Below are 22,009 nucleotides of genomic sequence, written 5' to 3'. Positions count from 1 at the left end.
GGATTACCTGTGAGGTGTGGGTTGTAATTAAATGGGTGATCAAAGTGGCCTAATTGAGATAGAGGCATTTGAACAAACACTCAAAGGAGGTCAAAGAGTAAGCCATTTGAATATCTGGAGGAAGAGCAGTACAGGCAGAAGAAGCCACCAAGGCAAAGCACATGTGGTATGCTAAAGGAAGAGCGAGGCCAGTGTGGCTGGAGCAGAGTGAGCATGGGAGAGTGTCGTCAGAGAGGTAACAGGAGCAGATCCAGACAATACAAGATTTCTGCATAGGACTTGGAAAGACGGGAGCTTTTACTCTGAGAAAAAGAGTTCAGAGGGAGTCATTGGAAGGTTCCAAGCAGAGGAGCAACATAATCTGACTTACATTGTTAGGATCACTTTAGCTTCTGTGTTGAAAATAGCCTGAATTTCCTACTGGATGGAAGCAGGAAGGCCGGTTAGGAGGCTCCATGGTAATGTGTTGAAGTCAAGGTGGCAGTAATGGTGAGATTTGGGCTCTATATTGAAGGTATAGCCAATAGGATTGGATGGTAGGGGTGTGTGAAAAAGAGAGGTGTCAAGGAGACTCGGAGATGCAGTTGCCATTAACTGAGATGGAGTCTGTAGGAAGGGCAGGAGTCAGTTCTGGACACGCTGAGTTCGAAATGCCTGTTATACTTCCAAGTGGAGATGTTGAGTAGACAGATGGATGTATGAATGGGGCAGGGGGATCCCTGAAGGAGGAGGTATAAAGGTGGGAGTCATTAACATACAGACAGTACTTGATGTCATAAGAGATGATCAGATAATTACTAAGAGGCAAAATATAGATGAGAAAAGGATTGAGCCGTGAGCACTCCCACCCTGAAAGTCTGGGGAGTTGAGAATGACCCAACAAAGAATATTGAGAAGTAAATATTGAGGAAGGAAGGAAATCAAGTAATCAGGGAGGCAAATAAACAACGTGTTTTCCAGGAGGAAGGAGCAGTCGAGTGTGCCAAGTAGTACTTTAGGTCAAGAAAGATGAAGACTGAGAATTGGTCATTGGATTTAGCAACATGACTATCGCTGGTGATCATTGAGCAGTTTTGGTAGAGTGTTGGGGGTGAAAGCCTGAATGGAGTGGGTTCAGGAGATAACAGGAGGAGTGGAGCTGGAGATATCAAGTAGAAGGGGTTCTTTCAAGGAATTTCAAAGATATGGGGTAATGGCTGGAGGGAGACGCGAAGCTGAGAGGAGATATTTTTAAGGTGGGAGAAATAATGGTTTGTTTGATTGCAGGTAGGAAGAATGATCCTGTACAGTGGAAAATTGATGTAGGAGAAAGGAGAATCACAAAGCTATGTTCTTGAGCAAGAGGGGATGGATTTATTTAGCAAGCGGAGGGATTGGCCTTACGAGTATGGACAGTTCGCCCAAAACAGCAGGTGGGAAGGCATTATATCTGGGCGCATTTGCTGAGAGATGGGTAAATGTGGTGATGGAAGTCTATCAAAATTTGCCTCTGACTGTTTCAGTTTTTCCATTGTAGTAGGAAGCAAGGTCATTCTTCAGCTGTGAGTGAAGATGAGTGGGGACATATAGGGAGTTTGAAGAAAAAGGGAAACAGAATGGCATATGGGAAAGAGAAAAAGTGAATGGACTGGGGAAATACAGAGATTGCTGAGGAGTATGAATTGAAAGTTAGATCAGGTAGCATTGTGGAGTGTTTTTCTCTGGCCATGTTCAGTGGCATGGGCAGTGCTGACTAGGTGGAGAATTAGACTTAACTAGGGTTGTAATCTTGCCAAGTGAGTACGAACAATTGATGAGGGCAGAGGAAGTTGGGGTAAAAGGAAAGGAGTGATTGTAATAACTGATTATAGAATTTACATTGGGCAAGGAAGGCAGACAGACATCATGGGGATGAAGGACAGAGAAAATTAGTAGATCATCAGACTGTAGGTCCTCCTGCAGGGGTTTACAGATTCTGGGTGTAGTGTAGTATAAGAGATCTTGAGTGAGCTGGAAAGTGGAAGGGTGCATGAAATCAAGATTATGGAGGGTTTGTGGTAATTGGTAATGACAGAGACCAGGCTAGATCTCATGAGAGTGAGAGGCCAAGATGAGGAGTTCAAAGAACTGTGAGGCCAAGGTGTTGGAAGGATCTTTGAAGGCCAGTGAAGAAGGATTATCTAATCAGTAGAAAGTGTGTATTTGCAGACTTAGCACAAAGTTGAGCTAAATATTTAACAGCATATGGTGACTGCTCTCTAGAAGCTTAAAGATTATGATGTTTAATTATAGGGCAGAGTAAATATTCAGTTGTGTATGTTTTATACAGCATGCTGAAACTAAACTGAATGAATTATATAAATATCTTTTTATAATTTAGTAAGAAGTCATTGATACGTATCTATAAATAAAAGCAATCCTTATTCCACAAAAGAATCAGACTCATTCTTCATAATTATAGTTCCATCTCAGTTTCACCATTACAAACAATAAGATGAGTCAGGTATGGTGGCACACGCCTGTAATCCCAGCTACTCGGGAGGCTGAGACGGGAGGATCACTCGAATCCAGGAGTTTGAGGTTAGCCTGGACAACATGGTGGGACCCTGTGTCTTAAAAACACCAACAAAAATTAAGATCCCCTCCCAGCCATTTGTATTGAAGTTTGTAAAAAAAAAAAAAAATTAAAAAAATCAAGAGAGCAAACTAACAACAGTTACATGAAACTTTAGAAACTTTCTTAACTGACTCCAGAGATTTCACGACATCTTTTCCCCACATCTTTGGAAGGTGAATGCCTGCTGCATGAGTGGGCTCTTTGCTGTAGCACGTCTGCCTCCACCATTTGAATAGTATACTTACCAAGAATCAGTTGTGTTTGTTCTCGAACTTTAGGCCACTGGACTTGTTATTATAATTATGTATGTTAATTAAAATAGGACATACACCAATGAAATGTGAAGGAAGAGGGATGCTTTTCTGTGACCTAAGTCAGGTGTTTTGGAAAGATTCAGGAAAGACAGATTGCCATATATATGTTTGTCAAATTAGGTGGGAATAAGGGAGCTGTAAAGTATTTGGGGGACAGTTTTAATCTAGAAGGCTTTGGCACTGATAGTGTTTTACAAGTTCCTGCTCTTCTTTAAAAAATGAAAAGTAGAAGTGGTAGATGCACTTAGGTGTGATTTGCTTACGAACTCCAGTCAGCTAACCTAGAAAACAAGAAGCTGTGGTCCTGCATCAGAAATCAGTGTATTCATGCATGTTTATTTGTTTTAAGTTAAAATGATGTTTCGAGTATGTATATATCATTTTTAATGATTTCCCCCTTAACTGACTTTTTCCACTGACTACCAATCCAGATAAGAAGGCACTTATTTATGATATTTAATTTAGTAGCCAAATTATATTAAGTATTTAAGGGTTTTTTTTTGTTTTTGGTTTGTTTGTTTTTACAAATTGTACTTGTTTTATTTATCAAGTCCCATCTTACTATTCCAAAAAAATTTTCAGGTAGCATCTGGATAGTAGATTTAATCAATAGACCTTTTAAGCTAAAAATTTTATAAATAAAGCCATTGAAATTATTTAATTTTTTCTCAGTCCATTTTGCGTTTAAAATATTTTACTAGCTGCATACAGTAGCTCATGCCTATAATCCAAGCACTTTGGGAGGCCAAGGTAGGAGGATCGCTTGAGGCCATAAGTTTGAGAGCAGCCTGGACAATACAGCGAGACCCTGTCTCTACAAAAAAAATGTTTAAAAATTTGAGGGGAGCAGTGGCACATGCCTGTAGTTCCAGCTACTCAGGAGTCTGAGGCAGGTGGATCACTTGACCCCAGGAGGTCAATAATTGAACCCACATCAAAGGGTGGTTGTGAGAATTAAATGAGACAGTCCATTTAAATGCTTAATACAGTACCTGGCACATTGTAGGCATTCATTAAATGTTAGATATGATTTTCTTAATCAGTACCGTGTGTCATTGTCTAATTAAAAGGTCTCTAACAAAGGTGCTCAATAAATATTTTTTGACTTAATATAGGTTGTCATTTCTTTAAAATGTAGGCTATTAAGTTTACTTGTCAGAAGTGTACATCGTATTTTTTCTATGGAAAATCAATTTTGACAGTCCTTATTGACTTGCAACATGTTTTCTCTTAGAATTTCCTGTTGTCTTTTGATTGTGTACAGTGTGTAACACTATTAGAGTCACCTCATTTCTCAGAAACTTCTGTAATTTCTTCATTATTGAATTGAGTGGATAGGGATATTACTAATTCCTTTACTTTTAATTTAACATATCTGTAGTACCATTGGTGGAAAGGAGAAAAATGTAGTACCGTTGGTGGAAAGGACTATTGGTGAGAAAGTCCTCAAAGGCTGATTTAACTCCAGTGACCCACTTCTGTTCTTACATGAGTGATCCTGAATCAGTTTCTGCACCCTGTTGTTGATCAGATAGTACTAGATAAACTCACCTTGGGTTCACACATAGAAAAACAAATGTAACCTTTGCTACATGTACAAAAGTTTAAAGGTTGTAGTAAATACCATTAAGATCTACGTAGCCTGATTGTTAACCTAACAGAAGCATGAGACCATCAGAAGACTTGGGCTCTGGCATAGCTGAAGGGTGTTGGCCAATCTAAGAAATCCACCTAGTTCCAAAAGCTGTTTATTGACATTGTCATCTCAGAGATAAGAGATGGTTGCATACACAATCTGGATTTATGCTGTCCACTTTTTTGTTTGTGTGTTTGTTTGAGATGGAGTTTTGCTCTTGTTGCCCAGGCTGGAGTGCAATGGCGCGATCTCAGCTCACCACAACCTCTGCCTCCTGAGTTCAAGCGATTCTTCTGCCTCAACTTTCCCGAGTAGCTGGGATTACAGACATGTGCCACCACACCTGGATAATTTTGTAGTTTTAGTAGAGTTGGGGTTTCTCCATGTTGGTCAGGCTGGTTTCAAACTCCCGACCTCAGGTGATCCTCCTGCCTCGGCCATCCCAAAGTGCTGGGATTACAGGCATGAGTCACTGCGCCCGGCTGCTGTTCACCTTTTATGTAAAATAAAGTATATTTATTGTGCCAAATGTAGTAAATGAAGAGATTAGGGAACTGGCATGTTTCAGAAGGGTAATATAGGAAGAAAATTGCCCATTTTCTTTCAGGTAGTTGGAAAAGATTTGTAGAAAAGGTAGTATTCCAAGAGAAGGAAGAAATGACCAAGATTGCTTAGACTAAGATAATTATTCCAGGCTTGGAACGTCTCCTGAGAGGCAGCAGGGGGATGACTAAATGAAGCGGGTTTGTGTGGGCTTGCCTGCTAAATGGTGGATGGATGTCAGTTGAACAGATTGTTTTGAGTGCAATTCTATAGCTGGGCTGAAGGTGCAAAAACAAGACGCGGTCCAAGATCTTACTCATTACTTCATTACATAACAGGGGAGATGAGAATTATCTGTTAATGGTAACACACTATGGTAGGTGCTTAATTAATGGTGTGAACAAAGTACTTTGGAAGGACAGAGAACTGAATGGTTAATTATGCATGAGTGGGAAAGAGTTCACAGATGAGGTTAAAGTAGGAAAAGTGGGAAGAGTGTCTTCTGGAAGAAGGACAGGGCCTTCTAAGCACAGGAATCGTGTGAACAGAGGGTGGGTATACATTTGACGTTGGGGGTGCTATATGGGACAGGAGCAGGAAATGAGACTCAAGGAAATGAAAAGAATGTGGATAAAGCACCCAGCTTGGGGTTAATCATAACAAAGATTCCTCTAGTTGTTCAGAACATGGTTTGGAGAGAAAACCACTGCAAACTTCAAGAGCTCCTGGTGGCTTTTTTGGTTATCTTGGCTACTGAGCAGTGAATGGGTATAGAGAGGAGAGAGGATCAATGGAAGAGGTTATTCCAAAAGGATTTGGCAGCCATTTGGATGAGGGTCATGGGGAAGAGAAAGGAGCCCCATTTTATTCTCGAGCTTAGTTGGCTGGGTCGATGTTATTACCCTAAACCAATTTGGGGATTACAGAGAGGAGGCAGGAGTTGGGGGCAGAAAAGGGAAAAAGAGAATATGTTTAGTTTCTGACATTTTGAATGTGAAGGGCCTGTGGAACATCCTGATAGTCAGTAGGTAGTTGGAGATACGGGTTGGAAATTTAAGAGGACACACACACACACGCCATCAGCATGTAGAACTGGTAATTAAGACTACAGAAGTAAGTGCAGCCTTCAAAGAGAGTATTTAGAGTGAGAAGAATGACTAGAATTGTATCTTAGAGAACCAGCGTGTTCCGTGTGGGAAGAAAATGTTGTGTGTCCATATATTCTAAAATCATATAAACTGTTGTTTTCTTTTGTATTCTTTGTTCCACTTCTCTCTCTAGTAATGAAGATAATAGAGACTTGACTATATGAATGATGTGTGGGCTTCAAGCATACTATTTTAAATAGCGTTTGTTGTCCTTAAATTTTTTTTTTTCTTTAAACTTGTCTCTAGATGTCATTTTGCTAGGTTTTTGGACTTCACTGATCTGAATGAATTATATTTCAAGGAAACTGGGCATTTTTATCATCACATTAAACTTCACTCTTTCAGAATGATCATGTTTACTATATTATTAGTCACTTTAACTGCTACTCTTTCTCTCCATAGGAGCTGATGCAGCAGAATGGGATTGGTTATGTGTTAAATGCCAGCAATACCTGTCCAAAGCCTGACTTTATCCCCGAGTCTCATTTCCTGCGTGTGCCTGTGAATGACAGCTTTTGTGAGAAAATTTTGCCGTGGTTGGACAAATCAGTAGATTTCATTGGTAAGTAGCTCAAATAATATTGCAGGTCCTGTGGGTGATCGTCTCATGTGTAGGTGAACCCCCTCAGCCCCCCATTTTTTCTTTAGAGAAAAGGAGCCTATTTCAGAGATTTCAAAAGTCTGAAAACAGCACGTGGTGCAGCTTACTCATCTGGTGGTCAAGGTGACGTGTGTGTCACACTGTCCCTAAGGACTGGCCTTGTGACATTCTAGCTAACATTTAACACCACCAAGGTTAAGCTTCACAGGATCTGTAATTATGTATTTGCAGGTGTTTGAAAATCAGTTAAGCTTTTAGGGTTAAATTCTTCCCCCAACTTTTTCAAATCCTATACAAGCCTTTGGGAAACTTTGGTAATATTCCCTGTTGCCTTGTTGCTGTGTTTTTTACAGAGAAAAGTCAAATCTTTTGAAAACAAATCCCATTACATTTAAGTCTTTATGTCAGTGTTTCTGAGCCGGGGTCCACATGCCAATAATTTCAGGTAGTGTTTGATCTAACAGAATTTTCACACACACACACACACACACACACACACACACACACTCTCATTTGGTTATTTTCCTGGCAATGGTCTTGACGGGATCTCATCTGTGCCATACTTTGTTGTGCTTCCTGGGCTTGTTCAATTCTGGAGCTTCTCTGGCCCCTGGGTACTTACTGCTGAGGCATTTTGGTGCCACAGGATCAGATCTGCTGGGTGGTAACTTGGTGATGTGTATTTGGAATGTGGCTTTAGTGGACAGTGGCTGAGCAGAGGAGAAACACTGCTAGCTCCTGAGCAACATACCACAGTGACTCTTGATGTTCCATGTAAGGAATTTTTTTTCCCCCAGTTACATAAGTTGGAGCACCCTAATCCATAATTACTCTGAATTGGTTACCATTACCATAATTAAAAATAAAAGAACTAGTTCTTTCAAAAAAGTGGAATTGGCCAGGCGCGGTGGGTCACGCCTGTAATCCCAGCACTTTGGGAGGCCTAGGCGGGTGGATCATGAGGTCAGGAGATTGAGACCATCCTGGCTAACACAGTGAAAACCCATCTCTACTAAAAATACAAAAAATTAGCTGGGCGAGGTGACAGGAACCTGTAGTCCCAGCTGCTCGGGAGGCTGAGGCAGGAGAATGGCATGAACCCGGGAGGCAGAGCTTGCAGTGAGCCAAGATTGCACCATTGCACTCCAGCCTAGGCAGCAGAGTGAGACTCTGTCTCCAAAAAAAAAAAAAAAAAAAAAAAAGTGGAATTGGCCAGGCACAGGGGCTTATGCCTTAATCCCAGCACTTTAACAAGCCGAGGCAAGCAATCACTTGAACCCAGGAGTTCGAGACCAGCTTGGGCAACATAGCAAAACCTTGTCTCTACCAGTGCACCTGTGGTCCCGCCTACTCGGGAGGCTGAGGTGGGAGGATTGCTTGAGCCAGGAGGCGGAGGTTGCAGTGAGCTGAGATTGTGCCACTGAACTCCAGCCTGGGCAGTAGAGCCAGACCCTGTCTCAAAAACAAAAAGTGGAATTATGTATATTAAGCCCCATATTATAATTTTCACCTGTGAGGGGAATATTCTATTTAATGCTTTTGGAACTTTAAGTAATTCCAAAACACTTGCCTTTTTTTCAAGATTTCCAGGTTGCTGAGGGTTTCATCTTCAATTAGGATTCATTCTGTGAAACATCTGAAGATAAATGACTTAGTTCATATTAAAGTAATCACAAACAAATGGCCAGGTAGCTCACGCCTGTAATCCCAGCACTTTGGGAGGCCGAGGCTGGCAGATCACCTGAGGTCAGGAGTTCGAGACCAGCCTGGCCAACATATAGTGAAACCCCACCTCTACTAAAAATACAAAAATTAGCTGGGCGTAGTGGCACATGCCTGTAGTCCCAGCTACTTGGGAAGCTGAGGCAGGAGAATTGCTTGAATCCAGGAGGCGGAGGTTGCAGTGAGCCAAGATCGCGCCACTGCACTCCAGCCTGGGTAACAGAGTGAAACTCTATCTCAAAAAAAAAAAAAAAAATCACAAACAAACCCCCACAAGTTAACACACACCCTCCCATTGTACTTCTAAAAAACATTCAGCAAATCATTGTTTTTGTCTCTTTAAAAAATAACAATTGGCTGGGCATGGTGGCTTACGCCTGTAATCCCAGCACTTTGGGAGGCCGAGATGGGGGGATCACCTGAGGTTGCTGGAGTTTGCGATAGCCTGGCCAACACGTCTCTACTAAAAATATAAAAATTAGTCGGGCATGGTGGCGGGCACCTGTAATCCCAGCTACTTGGGAGGCTGAGGCAGGAGAATCTCTTGAACCTGGGATGTGGAGGTTGCAGTGAGCCGAGACCACGCCATTGCACTCCAGCCTTGGCAACAGAGTGAGACTTTGTCTCAAAAAAAATAAAAATAAAAAAAATAAATTACGGTTAATGTTCCCATTGCACGTCACTTCCAGAGACATTGGCTCTAATTTCAGCTAAAAATCAGATATCAAAATCTACCTAGAAGAGAACATGATTTTCTTAAGTCATGACAATGTGTGGGCTTTAGGAGACAAAGTTTAGTAGAAAAGAGAAGAGAATAGAGAATATGAATAACTTTGCTCCCAACTTATTTTTTCCTTTCATGGAAGATATTGGGGTCATCCTGCCACTTTCATTCATACAAAAGAACTTTAACTACTTTGCAACTTGGTTAAACACATACACACAAAATACATATTATAATTTATTTGTAATATCTGCAAATACTTATCAGTATTTCATTTGCTTGGTTCTATTAGAGCCATCATCCTTATCCCACCCAAGTAATTCAAGGCAAAATCTCCAGGCCACTTTTTGAATTCAGCCCATATTCACTACAATTGCTAAGTCTTCTCCTCTGTGGGGTTTTTTGTTGTTGTTCTTGCTTTTTATTTACTCAAGCAGAAGAAAGACACAAGAATGATAACCCACATACATACAGAGTAGTAGAATGGCAAGAGCTAATTATTCTCAAACACAAATTCTTAAAGATAAATGTAAAATTTTTTTTTAATTTTTAAATTTTTTTATTTTTATTTATTATTATACTTTAAGTTTTAGGGATCTGTGGGGTTTTAAGCCATGGTTAGTGATAGCATGTCATTTGAAGATGTACCCCCTTAATGACTTACAGGCTCATAGTGATTTTTTCTTTTTTGTTGTTGTTATTTAGATTAGATTTGGGTAAGTCTCCGGGTTGGTTGGAAGGACTCAGGTTTATGTGGAGTTTTGTCTTTTAGTTAATGTGCCAGTAACAGAGTTTGCCCGTTTGTGCTATGGGATACTCATGAGGTGCCCCCAAACCCAGCTGGCTACATATACAGCCTCTTGCTTCCTCTTCACTGTCTCCTGGGCTCTTCCTCCAGCTCTCCTCATGCCAAACTCGTGACTGCATGGACACAACATAGGGAGGTGATTAGGACCATGTATTTTGGAGGCAAACTGTCTGTATTTGAGTCCTGCCTACCCTGGTTATTAGTGAAGTGGTTTGAGTAAGTTACTTCAAACTTCTGTGCACTTCAGTTTCTTGATCTGGAAACTGAAGGTAATATACCTACCTTACAGGGATATTGTGAGGATTAAAATAGATAATGTAAAATGAAAAAAAAAGAAAAAAAGTAAACCAAAAAGATAAAATAAAAATAAGTAAAATAGATAATGTCCATTGAACACCTTGTAAAGTACCTGACTCATAATTGGCTGTTAATAAGTATTTTAAAAATTGTTATCTGAAGTTCCTCCTTTTTTCTGTCCTTTGAGCTGGACTCTGTAACACCTCTTAGTATTACTTCCTTCTTTTTAGCTTTTGTAACTTCTCATCCTCACTGCATCTTTGCCCTTTTCATTTGCAGTTCTCTCTCCCCTTTCTTAACCTAGATTTTAGCCTTAATTGCGGTAATGGCCACCTGCTTGTTTCCAGTTTTCATCATCATTGCCTTCTCGTTCTTTATTCAGAAACCTGAAGAGGCTTCTTAGTTTTCTGCGTTAAAAAGGTAGCCTTGGCCAGGTGCAGCGTGTGTAATCAATCACAGCACTTTGGGAAGCGGAGGCGGGAGGATTGCTTGAGGCCAGGAGTTTGACACCAGCCTAGTCAACATAGCAAGATCCTGTCTCTACAAAAAATTTTCAAAAATTAGCCAGGCATGGTGGTGTGCACCTGTAGTCCTAGCTGGGAGGCTGAGGCAGGAGGATCGCTTGAGCCTAGGAGCTCACAGTTACAGTGAGCTATGTTTGCACTATGGCACTCCAGCCTGGATGAACAGAGTGAGACCCTGTCTGAAAAAACAAATGTAGCCCTTAGCCTAACATTCCCACCACCCTCAAACACCTGCTTCCCACCTTTGAAACCTTCTCAAACCTTCTCTCTGGTTTCTTCTCCAAGGCAGGCTGTTTTCGAATGAGCACTTTGCTCAGTCCCACTGCAGGGCTTTCTCGCACACATTTCCCTTCTCCTCTCTGCCAGTTGTGTGTGTTAAATTAATTCCTTTGCTTGAAGACACAGTTTAGGGCTCATGTCTCCCAAGATGCATGCTGGTGAACCTCAACTCCAGTATAGTCACTTGTTTTTTTCATTTTTAAAAGACGTCATCAAAAGAGTTGTGGTTATAAAAACAGTTGTAAGCACATTGCAGAAAATTTGAAAAACAGAGAAAAGGAAACCTATAACCTCAACATCGTAACGCATGTTACTGTCATTGTTTTATTTCCTTCCAGCCTTCTTCTTTTTTTATTAAAATCTCTTTTGAAAATATGTATCAGCCAGTATCAGCTGGATGCCTACCATGTGCCTAGCGTTAAGTCTTTTGGGGGATTGTTAGAAGCAAGCAAGATCCTTCTAGGTCCTTATAATCTAGGTTTTGAGATAGATAATTATTAAAATTAATGAGAGAGTATTGTCAACATTAAAAAACAAAAACCCAGACTCCTTCCAGTAAGGATTTGAAGCAGTTTTCAATAATAGGTTAGAACCAAAAGATACACATATTCTCACACATACACATTATAATGGTATAAAGGAGCAATAATCAAGTAATAGGGGCTAGGAAATGTACAGTAACTGACAAAAAGTCTGAATTGCTACTTCTTATTGAAATTGAGTAGAAACCTTAGCTTTGAGCTTCTTAGCAGTAGGGCAGAAAGGGAAGGAAACACTGAGAGTAACGTGGGGTAAATGATAGCTGAGAAGGAAGGGGATGCTGGAGGCACAGGAAGGCATGAGACTGTGTACACGAGTTTATATGTTCTTACTTGTATAGCATGCAATTCTTTGTTTGAGTGTTGCTTGGTATTCATTTGTTAGTGTTTTATTGTGTTTGGTTTCCTGATCTAGAAGGGAAGCTGCTTGCTGCTTAATTATTCATATGCTACCCAAAACCTGTATGTTGCTTTATATATGATGAATAATTATGTTATATATAATAATCATTACACTAGAAACTTATATTTATAGCATAGGCAGTGAGATTGAATAGCTTTGTATTATTCAGCTGCCAAAGTAAGATTCTTTGCGCATCTGTTAATCGCAAGAATTTTAACACAAGGTTCAGTAGACTTTTGGTAGTATCTACCAAGAATGAAAAGGGGAGAATTCAGCTTCATGACTGAGCACACATGTAATTATTTAGAATTGAGGCAGTCATGGAACTGGCCAGAATGTTAGTAGCTTCCAGGCTGTGTGGAATAACCTCGTCCCCTGCCACATGTACATATTGTTAAGCCCCTCAGCAGTGAGAGATGGCAGCACTGCTTGGATTTCCTTGGTTCTTTGGTTCTAACAAAGTGTCCGTGAGTCCTTCCATCATGTTGTGGGGAATTGAGATAATGCCATAAGACAATAACTCCTGGTATCAAGGAAGGGATAAAAGTTCTCTTGGATCTCATTAAAGTGACCTGCTAAACCTGATTCATAGCCTATACAAGGTTTTCTTCTAAAACTCAGTAAATAAAGTTGAGCCATTTTATGACATACAGAAAAGTTGCTTAAAATAGGGAGGCCAGGGGCAGTGGCTCACTCCTGTAATCCCAGCACTTTGGGAGGCTGAGGTGGACGGATCACTTGAGGCCAGGAGTTAGAGACCAGCCTGCCCAACATGGTGAAACCGCAACTCCACTAAAAATAGAAAAATTAGCCAGGCGTGGTGCTGCACACCTGTAATCCCAGCTACTCTGGAGGCTAAGGCAGGAGAATCACTTGAATCCGGGAGGCGGAGATTGCAATGAGCCGACATCGTGCACTCCAGCCTGGGCGACAGAGCAAGACTCTATCTCAAAATAGTAATAATGATTTTAAAAAATGTAATTATATTTCTTAGGTAATCAGGGAAAAATTTGAAGTGTCAGATAACAGGAATATATTAAATATTACCCATATCTTAGGGGAAAATACTAACATAAGTCAGGAAACCTGAGTTAGTAGTAGCTTGCTTATTAACGAATTGCTTATTAACAAACAGTTTTGGACCCCAGTTGTCCTGCATGTCAGTGGTGAGGGAATTATCTTCCCCTGCCTCCTCAAAAGAATATTGCGAGGATAAATATGATATACACAGATGAGATTTGCGTAGAGGTTTTCAGGTGGAAGACACTGAGTAAGTAAATGGAAACAAGATTTCACTGCTGAACAAAATAGTTAGTAGTGACCTTTCTTGCATTTGACTTATACAGAGAAAGCAAAAGCCTCCAATGGATGTGTTCTAGTGCACTGTTTAGCTGGGATCTCCCGCTCCGCCACCATCGCTATCGCCTACATCATGAAGAGGATGGACATGTCTTTAGATGAAGCTTACAGGTGAGGGCAGGAAAATGTCTTCTGTGATTGGCTTTTCATTTGACCTGAAACATAAAGAATGATGAGGATGGGTAACCAAATTAAAGCAGATCATGATTATTTTAGTCACATTTTTTACAGGTTACTGTGGATTTTTTAATGGTCTTGTGAAGATTGGAAAAGAATGCTGTTTTACTATTTAGCATTAATTCTGCCTTCACATGTGTCAGACTCATCCTCAGCCACTTTTTATGTTTAAGGAACAACAGATCCAGGCAGAGATCTCTATCCTGTTACATGAGTTTATTGCTTTCCCTAAATGCAAAAGTATCCTTTGTTTTAATTTGCATATGATGGGGGGAAGCTCTAATAGAATGCTCACTGCAGAATCTCTGTTCTGCTTCAAACTTTGGATTGCTGGGAAGAAAAAGCCTCATAAATGCAAATATGAACCAGATTAACTGTCAGACTCCATTCTTCAGTAAAATTTCCTACATTCTAGAGTCGGCCAGATTGTGTGTGTGTGATTTTGACTGGGTTGCCTCCAGTCTCTGATTTGTCTGACTCCCCTGCATGTATCGTTGGGTAGAGATGGTTCATTTTTATCTGATAAGGAATCAAAAATATAGAGACTCATGGAGCAGGCCTGATTTAACAGTTGGATTTTTTTTTTCTCAAATTGCAAAGTTTGGAAAACAGAAATGAGCTGCCCAAACAGCTTCCCATGTTAAGTCAGCAGCCTGGAGGACGTGGGTCCTCTGGTCATCTGCACGAGCTCTCATGCCGCCGTTCAGACCTCCCTGAGGTCCTCCTGCTCCATGTAGAAATCAGAAGAAAAGGCACCCTTCTATCACGTTATGAAGTCTCATTATGAGCACCCTACATTTATACTTGTTATTCTTGAGCCAGTTATTTCTATTTTTGTGAATTTGCTTTAGGTTACTTGATTTCCAAGTTTTTTTTTTCCTTGTTCCTTATTCAAATGCAAATTTTCAGTGTAGTTCTACTCCTCCATCACCTGAAAAGTATCCATGAGGTGCAGGGGCCGCTGAAGAATTGGTCTGTCATCTCTGAGTCTTTATTTCCTCCATGAAACATGAAAGCCATCTAGTATTAGTTTTGATCCTTTGATGAATCTTTTTTTTAACATAGTGGTTACAAAAATGGACCCAGATATTTGACCAGCCTGGTTTTGAATCCAGCACCATCATTTAGTAGCTGTGTGATTTTGGGCAAGTCACTTAAGGATTCTGTGGAGCTATATGATGGGGATAATGACACCCACCTGATAAAGGGTAGTTCTGAGGATGAAATGATGATTCAGTGCATAAGCACAGTGCTTAGCACACAGAGACCACTTTGTCTTGGTTAGTCTGTCATGTTGACTATAAAAAGAAGTGTTGCTTTGATACTTTGATCATCTGATACCATCTTCTTTTTGTCATTAAATTTAAAATGTGAACTGTCTTGAGAAGTGACTGGTGACTTTAAGAGGGGATGACATTGGAAATTGAAGAAGGAGAGTGGCTGTTATACTGTACTTTTGATGGTAGCACTGGTGTGTGTGTGTCAGGGGTGTCCTTGGTGGTGAATAAATAATCATCTCTTGGCCAGGCATGGTGGCTCACACCTGTAGTCCCAGCACTTTGGGAGGCCAAGGTGGGAGAATCACTTGAGCCCAGAAGTTCAAGACCAGCCTGGGCAACACAGTGAGACCCTTTCTCTACAAAAGAAACTTTAAAAATTAAAATTAGCCAAGCGTGTAGTCCTGTAATCCCAGCTACTCAGGAGGCTGAGGTGGGAGGACTGCACGTGCCCAGGAATTCGAGGCTGCAGTGAGCTATGATCATGCCACTGTATTCCAGCCTGGGCGACAGAACAAGTCTCTGTCTCTTAAAAAAAAAAAAGACCACCACCAACAAAACCCCATACCATCTCTTATCAGCTGCATTGGGAGCCCTGGGCCTTTGAAAATAAGGAGACAAAAACTAGAGCCTTTGGGGCCCAGCTGCCTCTTCTGGCATACTCCAGGATGTGTGCAAAGCTTCCCCAGTGCCTAGGGCCTTTGTATTCTCCACCTTGAAGCATCTCCCCGAACTTGTAAACCAATCATCTTCCAAAGTTTTTGAGGTCTGCCTGATAATTCCCTATCTCATTTATTCACTTAATATTCTTAAGATAAAGTGTAGTTGTAAAATTCGGGTTTTTGTTTTTTCCTCTCTCTGCAGATTTGTGAAAGAAAAAAGACCTACTATATCTCCAAACTTCAATTTTCTGGGCCAACTCCTGGACTATGAGAAGAAGATTAAGAACCAGACTGGAGCATCAGGGCCAAAGAGCAAACTCAAGCTGCTGCACCTGGAGAAGCCAAATGAACCTGTCCCTGCTGTCTCAGAGGGTGGACAGAAAAGCGAGACGCCCCTCAGTCCACCCTGTGCCGACTCTGCTACCTCAGAGGCAGCAGGACAAAGGCCCGTGCATCCCGCCAGCGTGCCCAGCGTGCCCAGCGTGCAGCCGTCGCTGTTAGAGGACAGCCCGCTGGTACAGGCGCTCAGTGGGCTGCACCTGTCCGCAGACAGGCTGGAAGACAGCAATAAGCTCAAGCGTTCCTTCTCTCTGGATATCAAATCAGTTTCATATTCAGCCAGCATGGCAGCATCCTTACATGGCTTCTCCTCATCAGAAGATGCTTTGGAATACTACAAACCTTCCACTACTCTGGATGGGACCAACAAGCTATGCCAGTTCTCCCCTGTTCAGGAACTATCGGAGCAGACTCCCGAAACCAGTCCTGATAAGGAGGAAGCCAGCATCCCCAAGAAGCTGCAGACCGCCAGGCCTTCAGACAGCCAGAGCAAGCGATTGCATTCGGTCAGAACCAGCAGCAGTGGCACCGCCCAGAGGTCCCTTTTATCTCCACTGCATCGAAGTGGGAGCGTGGAGGACAATTACCACACCAGCTTCCTTTTCGGCCTTTCCACCAGCCAGCAGCACCTCACGAAGTCTGCTGGCCTGGGCCTTAAGGGCTGGCACTCGGATATCTTGGCCCCCCAGACCTCTACCCCTTCCCTGACCAGCAGCTGGTATTTTGCCACAGAGTCCTCACACTTCTACTCTGCCTCAGCCATCTACGGAGGCAGTGCCAGTTACTCTGCCTACAGCTGCAGCCAGCTGCCCACTTGCGGAGACCAAGTCTATTCTGTGCGCAGGCGGCAGAAGCCAAGTGACAGAGCTGACTCGCGGCGGAGCTGGCATGAAGAGAGCCCCTTTGAAAAGCAGTTTAAACGCAGAAGCTGCCAAATGGAATTTGGAGAGAGCATCATGTCAGAGAACAGGTCACGGGAAGAGCTGGGGAAAGTGGGCAGTCAGTCTAGCTTTTCGGGCAGCATGGAAATCATTGAGGTCTCCTGAGAAGAAAGACACTTGTGACTTCTATAGACAATTTTTTTTTCTTGTTCACAAAAAAATTCCCTGTAAATCTGAAATATATATATGTACATACATATATATTTTTGGAAAATGGAGCTATGGTGTAAAAGCAACAGGTGGATCAACCCAGTTGTTACTCTCTTAACATCTGCATTTGAGAGATCAGCTAATACTTCTCTCAACAAAAATGGAAGGGCAGATGCTAGAATCCCCCCTAGACGGAGGAAAACCATTTTATTCAGTGAATTACACATCCTCTTGTTCTTAAAAAAGCAAGTGTCTTTGGTGTTGGAGGACAAAATCCCCTACCATTTTCACGTTGTGCTACTAAGAGATCTCAAATATTAGTCTTTGTCCGGACCCTTCCATAGTACACCTTAGCGCTGAGACTGAGCCAGCTTGGGGGTCAGGTAGGTAGACCCTGTTAGGGACAGAGCCTAGTGGTAAATCCAAGAGAAATGATCCTATCCAAAGCTGATTCACAAACCCACGCTCACCTGACAGCCGAGGGACACGAGCATCACTCTGCTGGACGGACCATTAGGGGCCTTGCCAAGGTCTACCTTAGAGCAAACCCAGTACCTCAGACAGGAAAGTCGGGGCTTTGACCACTACCATATCTGGTAGCCCATTTTCTAGGCATTGTGAATAGGTAGGTAGCTAGTCACACTTTTCAGACCAATTCAAACTGTCTATGCACAAAATTCCCGTGGGCCTAGATGGAGATAATTTTTTTTTCTTCTCAGCTTTATGAAGAGAAGGGAAACTGTCTAGGATTCAGCTGAACCACCAGGAACCTGGCAACATCACGATTTAAGCTAAGGTTGGGAGGCTAACGAGTCTACCTCCCTCTTTGTAAATCAAAGAATTGTTTAAAATGGGATTGTCAATCCTTTAAATAAAGATGAACTTGGTTTCAAGCCAAATGTGAATTTATTTGGGTTGGTAGCAGAGCAGCAGCACCTTCAAATTCTCAGCCAAAGCAGATGTTTTTGCCCTTTCTGCTTCACTGCATGGATACAGTTGGTAAAATGTAATAATATGGCAGAATTTTATAGGAAACTTCCTAGGGAGGTAAATTATGGGAAGATTAAGAAAGGTACAAATTGCTGAGGAGAAGCAGGAAACCTGTTTCCTTAGTGGCTTTTATCCCCTCGGCATGCGATGGGGCTGATGTTTCTATGATTGCCTCAGACTTTCACATTTACTAGTAGGGCTGAGAGAGGCTTTAGTGAGGAAGGAATATTCAGAATAAAACGGTTGAGAAAGCTGAGAAGACCATTGAGTTTTGATCAGTTGTGAATAGAGTGCAAAGCCATGGCCAAGCTGTTTTTGGAAACGCTGGCCGGCGTGTCTTCAGTGGAAAAAGCAAATCAAAATGGAGCGAGAGCAAAGGGGCGTCCTCAGTCCTCAACCTACAATCACTGTATGGAATCGGTCCTGGCAGCTGAACATAGGAGGTCACTGGAACAAGTGATAGTGCAGATTGGCTTTCAAACATCCTCCTGGCTTGAGTTTTATCAGCTACAATGTGGGTCCTCTTTTGAAGCCTTAATTCACAACAGCAGCTTTTTGGGGGTGGGGCTGGGCGGGTGTTGTCATTGTTCTTTCCCTTCCTGTAAGTGTCGCTAGTTGCTGCCTCGTATCTCAGGTTTTTCTCTGTTTTTGAGAAATGGACAGTTTTTTGACCAGGATGTGACTTCATGTTTCCTATGGTGACTTCTAAAACCAGCACAGAATGATATGACTCAACACAGACCGACTTGGTTATGGGGATGATGAGCCGCACAGACCTCACTAGTTGTGCACAAATAATGTGCTATGATGGGGTGTAAAGTGAAGGCAGAAGAGGGTCAGCCGCATTGTTATGATACTGGGAAAGTGCTGGTCAACGATTTGAGTTAGTTTTTAGATATACATTGAAATCTTTAATCAGACATTCTCAAGTTTCACACAGTAGTTTTTGATGTTATGTACACACACACCAAATGTGTAACAGTTCACCACTTCCAGAGTGTGGTCATGCCCAAAACATGTTTAAGAAAGGAAAGCAGTAGCTCCTTGCTAACGATGTTTCAGGAGGTTTGGGGGACTTGGTTTTAATGAGCTTCTGTCATTTAGGGCTTCTCTTGGCCATGGTCCCCCTTCCTTCTGGAACTGTGATGTAGTCACATCCTACAGCCTTTAGTGCTGGTTCACTAGTGTCAGATAATCAGTTCTTGGAATCGAGACTGCCGTGGCGAAGGGGTGGCCTCGGAGGCAGGCTCTGGAGCTGCTTGGATGTCTTTAGGTGGGGTGGTGGCTGGCTCTCTTCAGCATGTAATTGGGGAAACCCTCGCGTCTACTAGGGGTGATACAGATGGTGATTTTAAAGAGCAAAACTAGACTTCTATGTGAGAAGTGCTGGAAAATGATTTAGGACATGTGTAAAGTTAGATGGAAAGACTGTAAATGTTTAATATGAATATAGTGTTCTTTTGAAGTAAGGCCAGCTGTTGAACGGTTAAACTGTGCATTTCTCATTTTGATGTGTCATGTATGTTAATGTATGAAATGATTAAATAAAATCAAAACTGGTACCTGTTTATACATAAATACGAGAAAAGACCTATCTTTGCAGCCATAAACTCGGTGGGAACACCACCACTCAAGTTGCCAAAGGAGGCAGTGGTGAAACCTGTCCTGTTCTCACTTAAATGAGGATTTAGCTCAAAATAAAGTGGTGGTGTCATCAGGTTTATTCCGTGTTCTGTCATTCACATGGAACACCGGATGATTAGCTAACAGTTTAGTGCCAGCCTTCATTCTTTACTGTGTACGTTAAATGCACACTACAGTGAAAAAGCCTAAGACACTTGGTAAATATTTTCTAGCTGACTGATTCCAGAACACACAAGTACATGGTAGGAAAAAAAAGGCCAGCTACACACACATGGCCCATTTCGATATAACATGTAAATGATGTTACGATTCCTACAGGAAAAACAGGAAGGGCAATTGTTGAAGAGCTGTCCTTTGTCCTTGCCACATACATCTCAACAACCTCTCTGCTCATGACACTAGATTTGATGACTTATGAGACTAGAAACTTAGTCTCATCAGTTTCATAAAAATTAGGCATTGAAGGAATAAAGCTTCAGTGCAAACAGATGGAATATTGACTACAGAAAGAATCACAGGTGACCTTGAAGTTGGTTGAGTTGAAGTTACATTTAAGAAAATTTATAAGAAAGATTGGGCCGGGTGAGCTAGACTAGAAGAGCTATCTTGGCCAGGACCCTGCAGAAAAAGAGGTGGAAGTGAGATAGAGGAATAAAGGGAATTAGAATAAATCAGCCTCCAGAGATAGAGGGTAACAGGAGGAACAGTTGTTTCAGTGAGAGGCTTCCAATGAGAAGATGCAGATCTTGGGAGAGCCTGAAGTTCAGGCCAGTTGCTGACAGTGCTCGGAGCCCCTTCATGACCAGCCTCAGCAGGCTATTGTTGGAGGACTGGTTTGGATGTGACAACTACAATTAGACCAGGAATTAAACTAAGAGGGGAGGCTGGGGGCGGTGGCTCACGCTTGTAATCCCAGCACTTTGGGAGGCCAAGGCAGGTGGATTACCTGAGGTCAGGAGTTTGAGACCAACCGGGCCTACCTGGTGAAATCCCTTCTCTACTAAAAATACAAAAATTAGCCAGGTGTGGGTGCCTGTCATCCCAGCTACTTGGGAGGCTGAGGCACGAGAATTGCTTGAACCTAGGAGGTGGAGGTTACAGTGAGCCAAGATTTCGCCATTGCACTCCAGCCTGGGCAACAAGAGCGAAACTCCATTTTAAACAAAAAATAAACTAAGGGGAAATTAGTGAGAGGTGACAGCGCACTGGCAGCCCTCACACCCCTCACTCACTCTCAGCACCTCCTCTGCCTGGGCTTCCACTTTGGCGGCACTTGAGGAGCCCTTCAGCCCGCCGCTGCACTGTGGGAGCCCCTTTCTCGGCTGGCCAAGGCGGAGCCGGCTCCCTCAGCTTGCCGGGAGGTGTGGAGGGAGAGGTGTGGAGGGAGAGGCATGGGCGGGAACCGGGGCTGCGCACGGTGCTTGCAGGCCAGTGCGAGTTCCAGGTGGGCGTGGGCTCAGCGGACCCTGCGCTCGGAGCAGCCAGCTGGCCCCACCGCCCGAGCAGTGAGGGGCTTTTAGCACCCGGGCCAGCAGCTGCTGTGCTCAATTTCTCACAGGGCCTTAGCTGCCTTCCCACAGGGCAGGGCTCAGGACCTGCAGCCCGCCATGCCTGAGCCTCCCCGAACTCCGTGGGCTCCTGTGCGGCCTGAGCCTCCCCGAGCGCCGCCCCCTGCTCCACAGCGCCCAGTCCCATCAACCAGCCAAGGGCTGAGGAGTGTGGGCACAGGGCGTGGGACTGGCAGGTAGCTCCACCTGCAGCTCTGGTGCAGGATCCACTGGGTGAAGCCAGCTGGGCTCCTGAGTCTGGTGGGGACTTGGAGAACCTTTATGTCTAGCTCAGGGATTGTAAATACACCAATCGGCACTCTGTATCTAGCTCAAGGTTTGTAAACACACCAATCAGCACCCTGTGTCTAGCTCAAGGTTCGTGAATGCACCAATCAACCCTCTGTATCTAGCTACTCTGGTGGGGCCTTGGAGAACATTTGTGTCTAGCTCAGGGATTGTAAACACACAAATCAGTGCCCTGTCAAAACAGACCACTCGGCTCTACCAATCAGCAGGATGTGGGTGGGGCCAGATAAGAGAATAAAAGCAGGCTGCCCGAGCCAGCGGTGGCAACCCGCTCGGGTCCCCTTCCACACTGTGGAAGCTTTGTTCTTTCGCTCTTTGCAATAAATCTTGCTACTGCTCACTCTTTGGGTCCACACTGCTTTTATGAGCTGTAACACTCACCGCAAAGGTCTGCAGCTTTACTCCTGAAGCCAGCGAGACCACGAGCCCACTGGGAGGAATGAACAACTCTGGACGCGCTGCCTTAAGAGCTGTAACACT

General features: G+C 43.0%; 1 protein-coding gene across 7 annotated transcripts in view; it reads left to right on the top strand.

Annotated features, from left to right (window-relative positions):
* The window catches only part of DUSP16 (dual specificity phosphatase 16), an 89,582-nt gene extending 69,037 nt beyond the window's left edge, over positions 1-20,545 (top strand). For all 7 annotated transcript variants that reach the window (NM_030640.3, XM_047429568.1, XM_047429570.1 and 4 more), the window contains 3 exons: positions 6,640-6,799; positions 13,481-13,604; positions 15,812-20,545. In NM_030640.3, coding sequence (NP_085143.1) covers positions 6,640-6,799; positions 13,481-13,604; positions 15,812-16,994 — 1,467 coding nt within the window. In that variant the 3' untranslated portion in view covers positions 16,995-20,545. The remainder of the gene's footprint in view (positions 1-6,639; positions 6,800-13,480; positions 13,605-15,811) is intronic.

This window comes from Homo sapiens, chromosome 12 (genome assembly GCF_000001405.40).
Source record: "Homo sapiens chromosome 12, GRCh38.p14 Primary Assembly".
Classification (NCBI taxonomy): domain Eukaryota; kingdom Metazoa; phylum Chordata; class Mammalia; order Primates; family Hominidae; genus Homo; species Homo sapiens.
The sequence above is the reverse complement of the archived record's forward strand: the minus strand, read 5'-3'. Positions and strand labels throughout refer to the sequence as shown.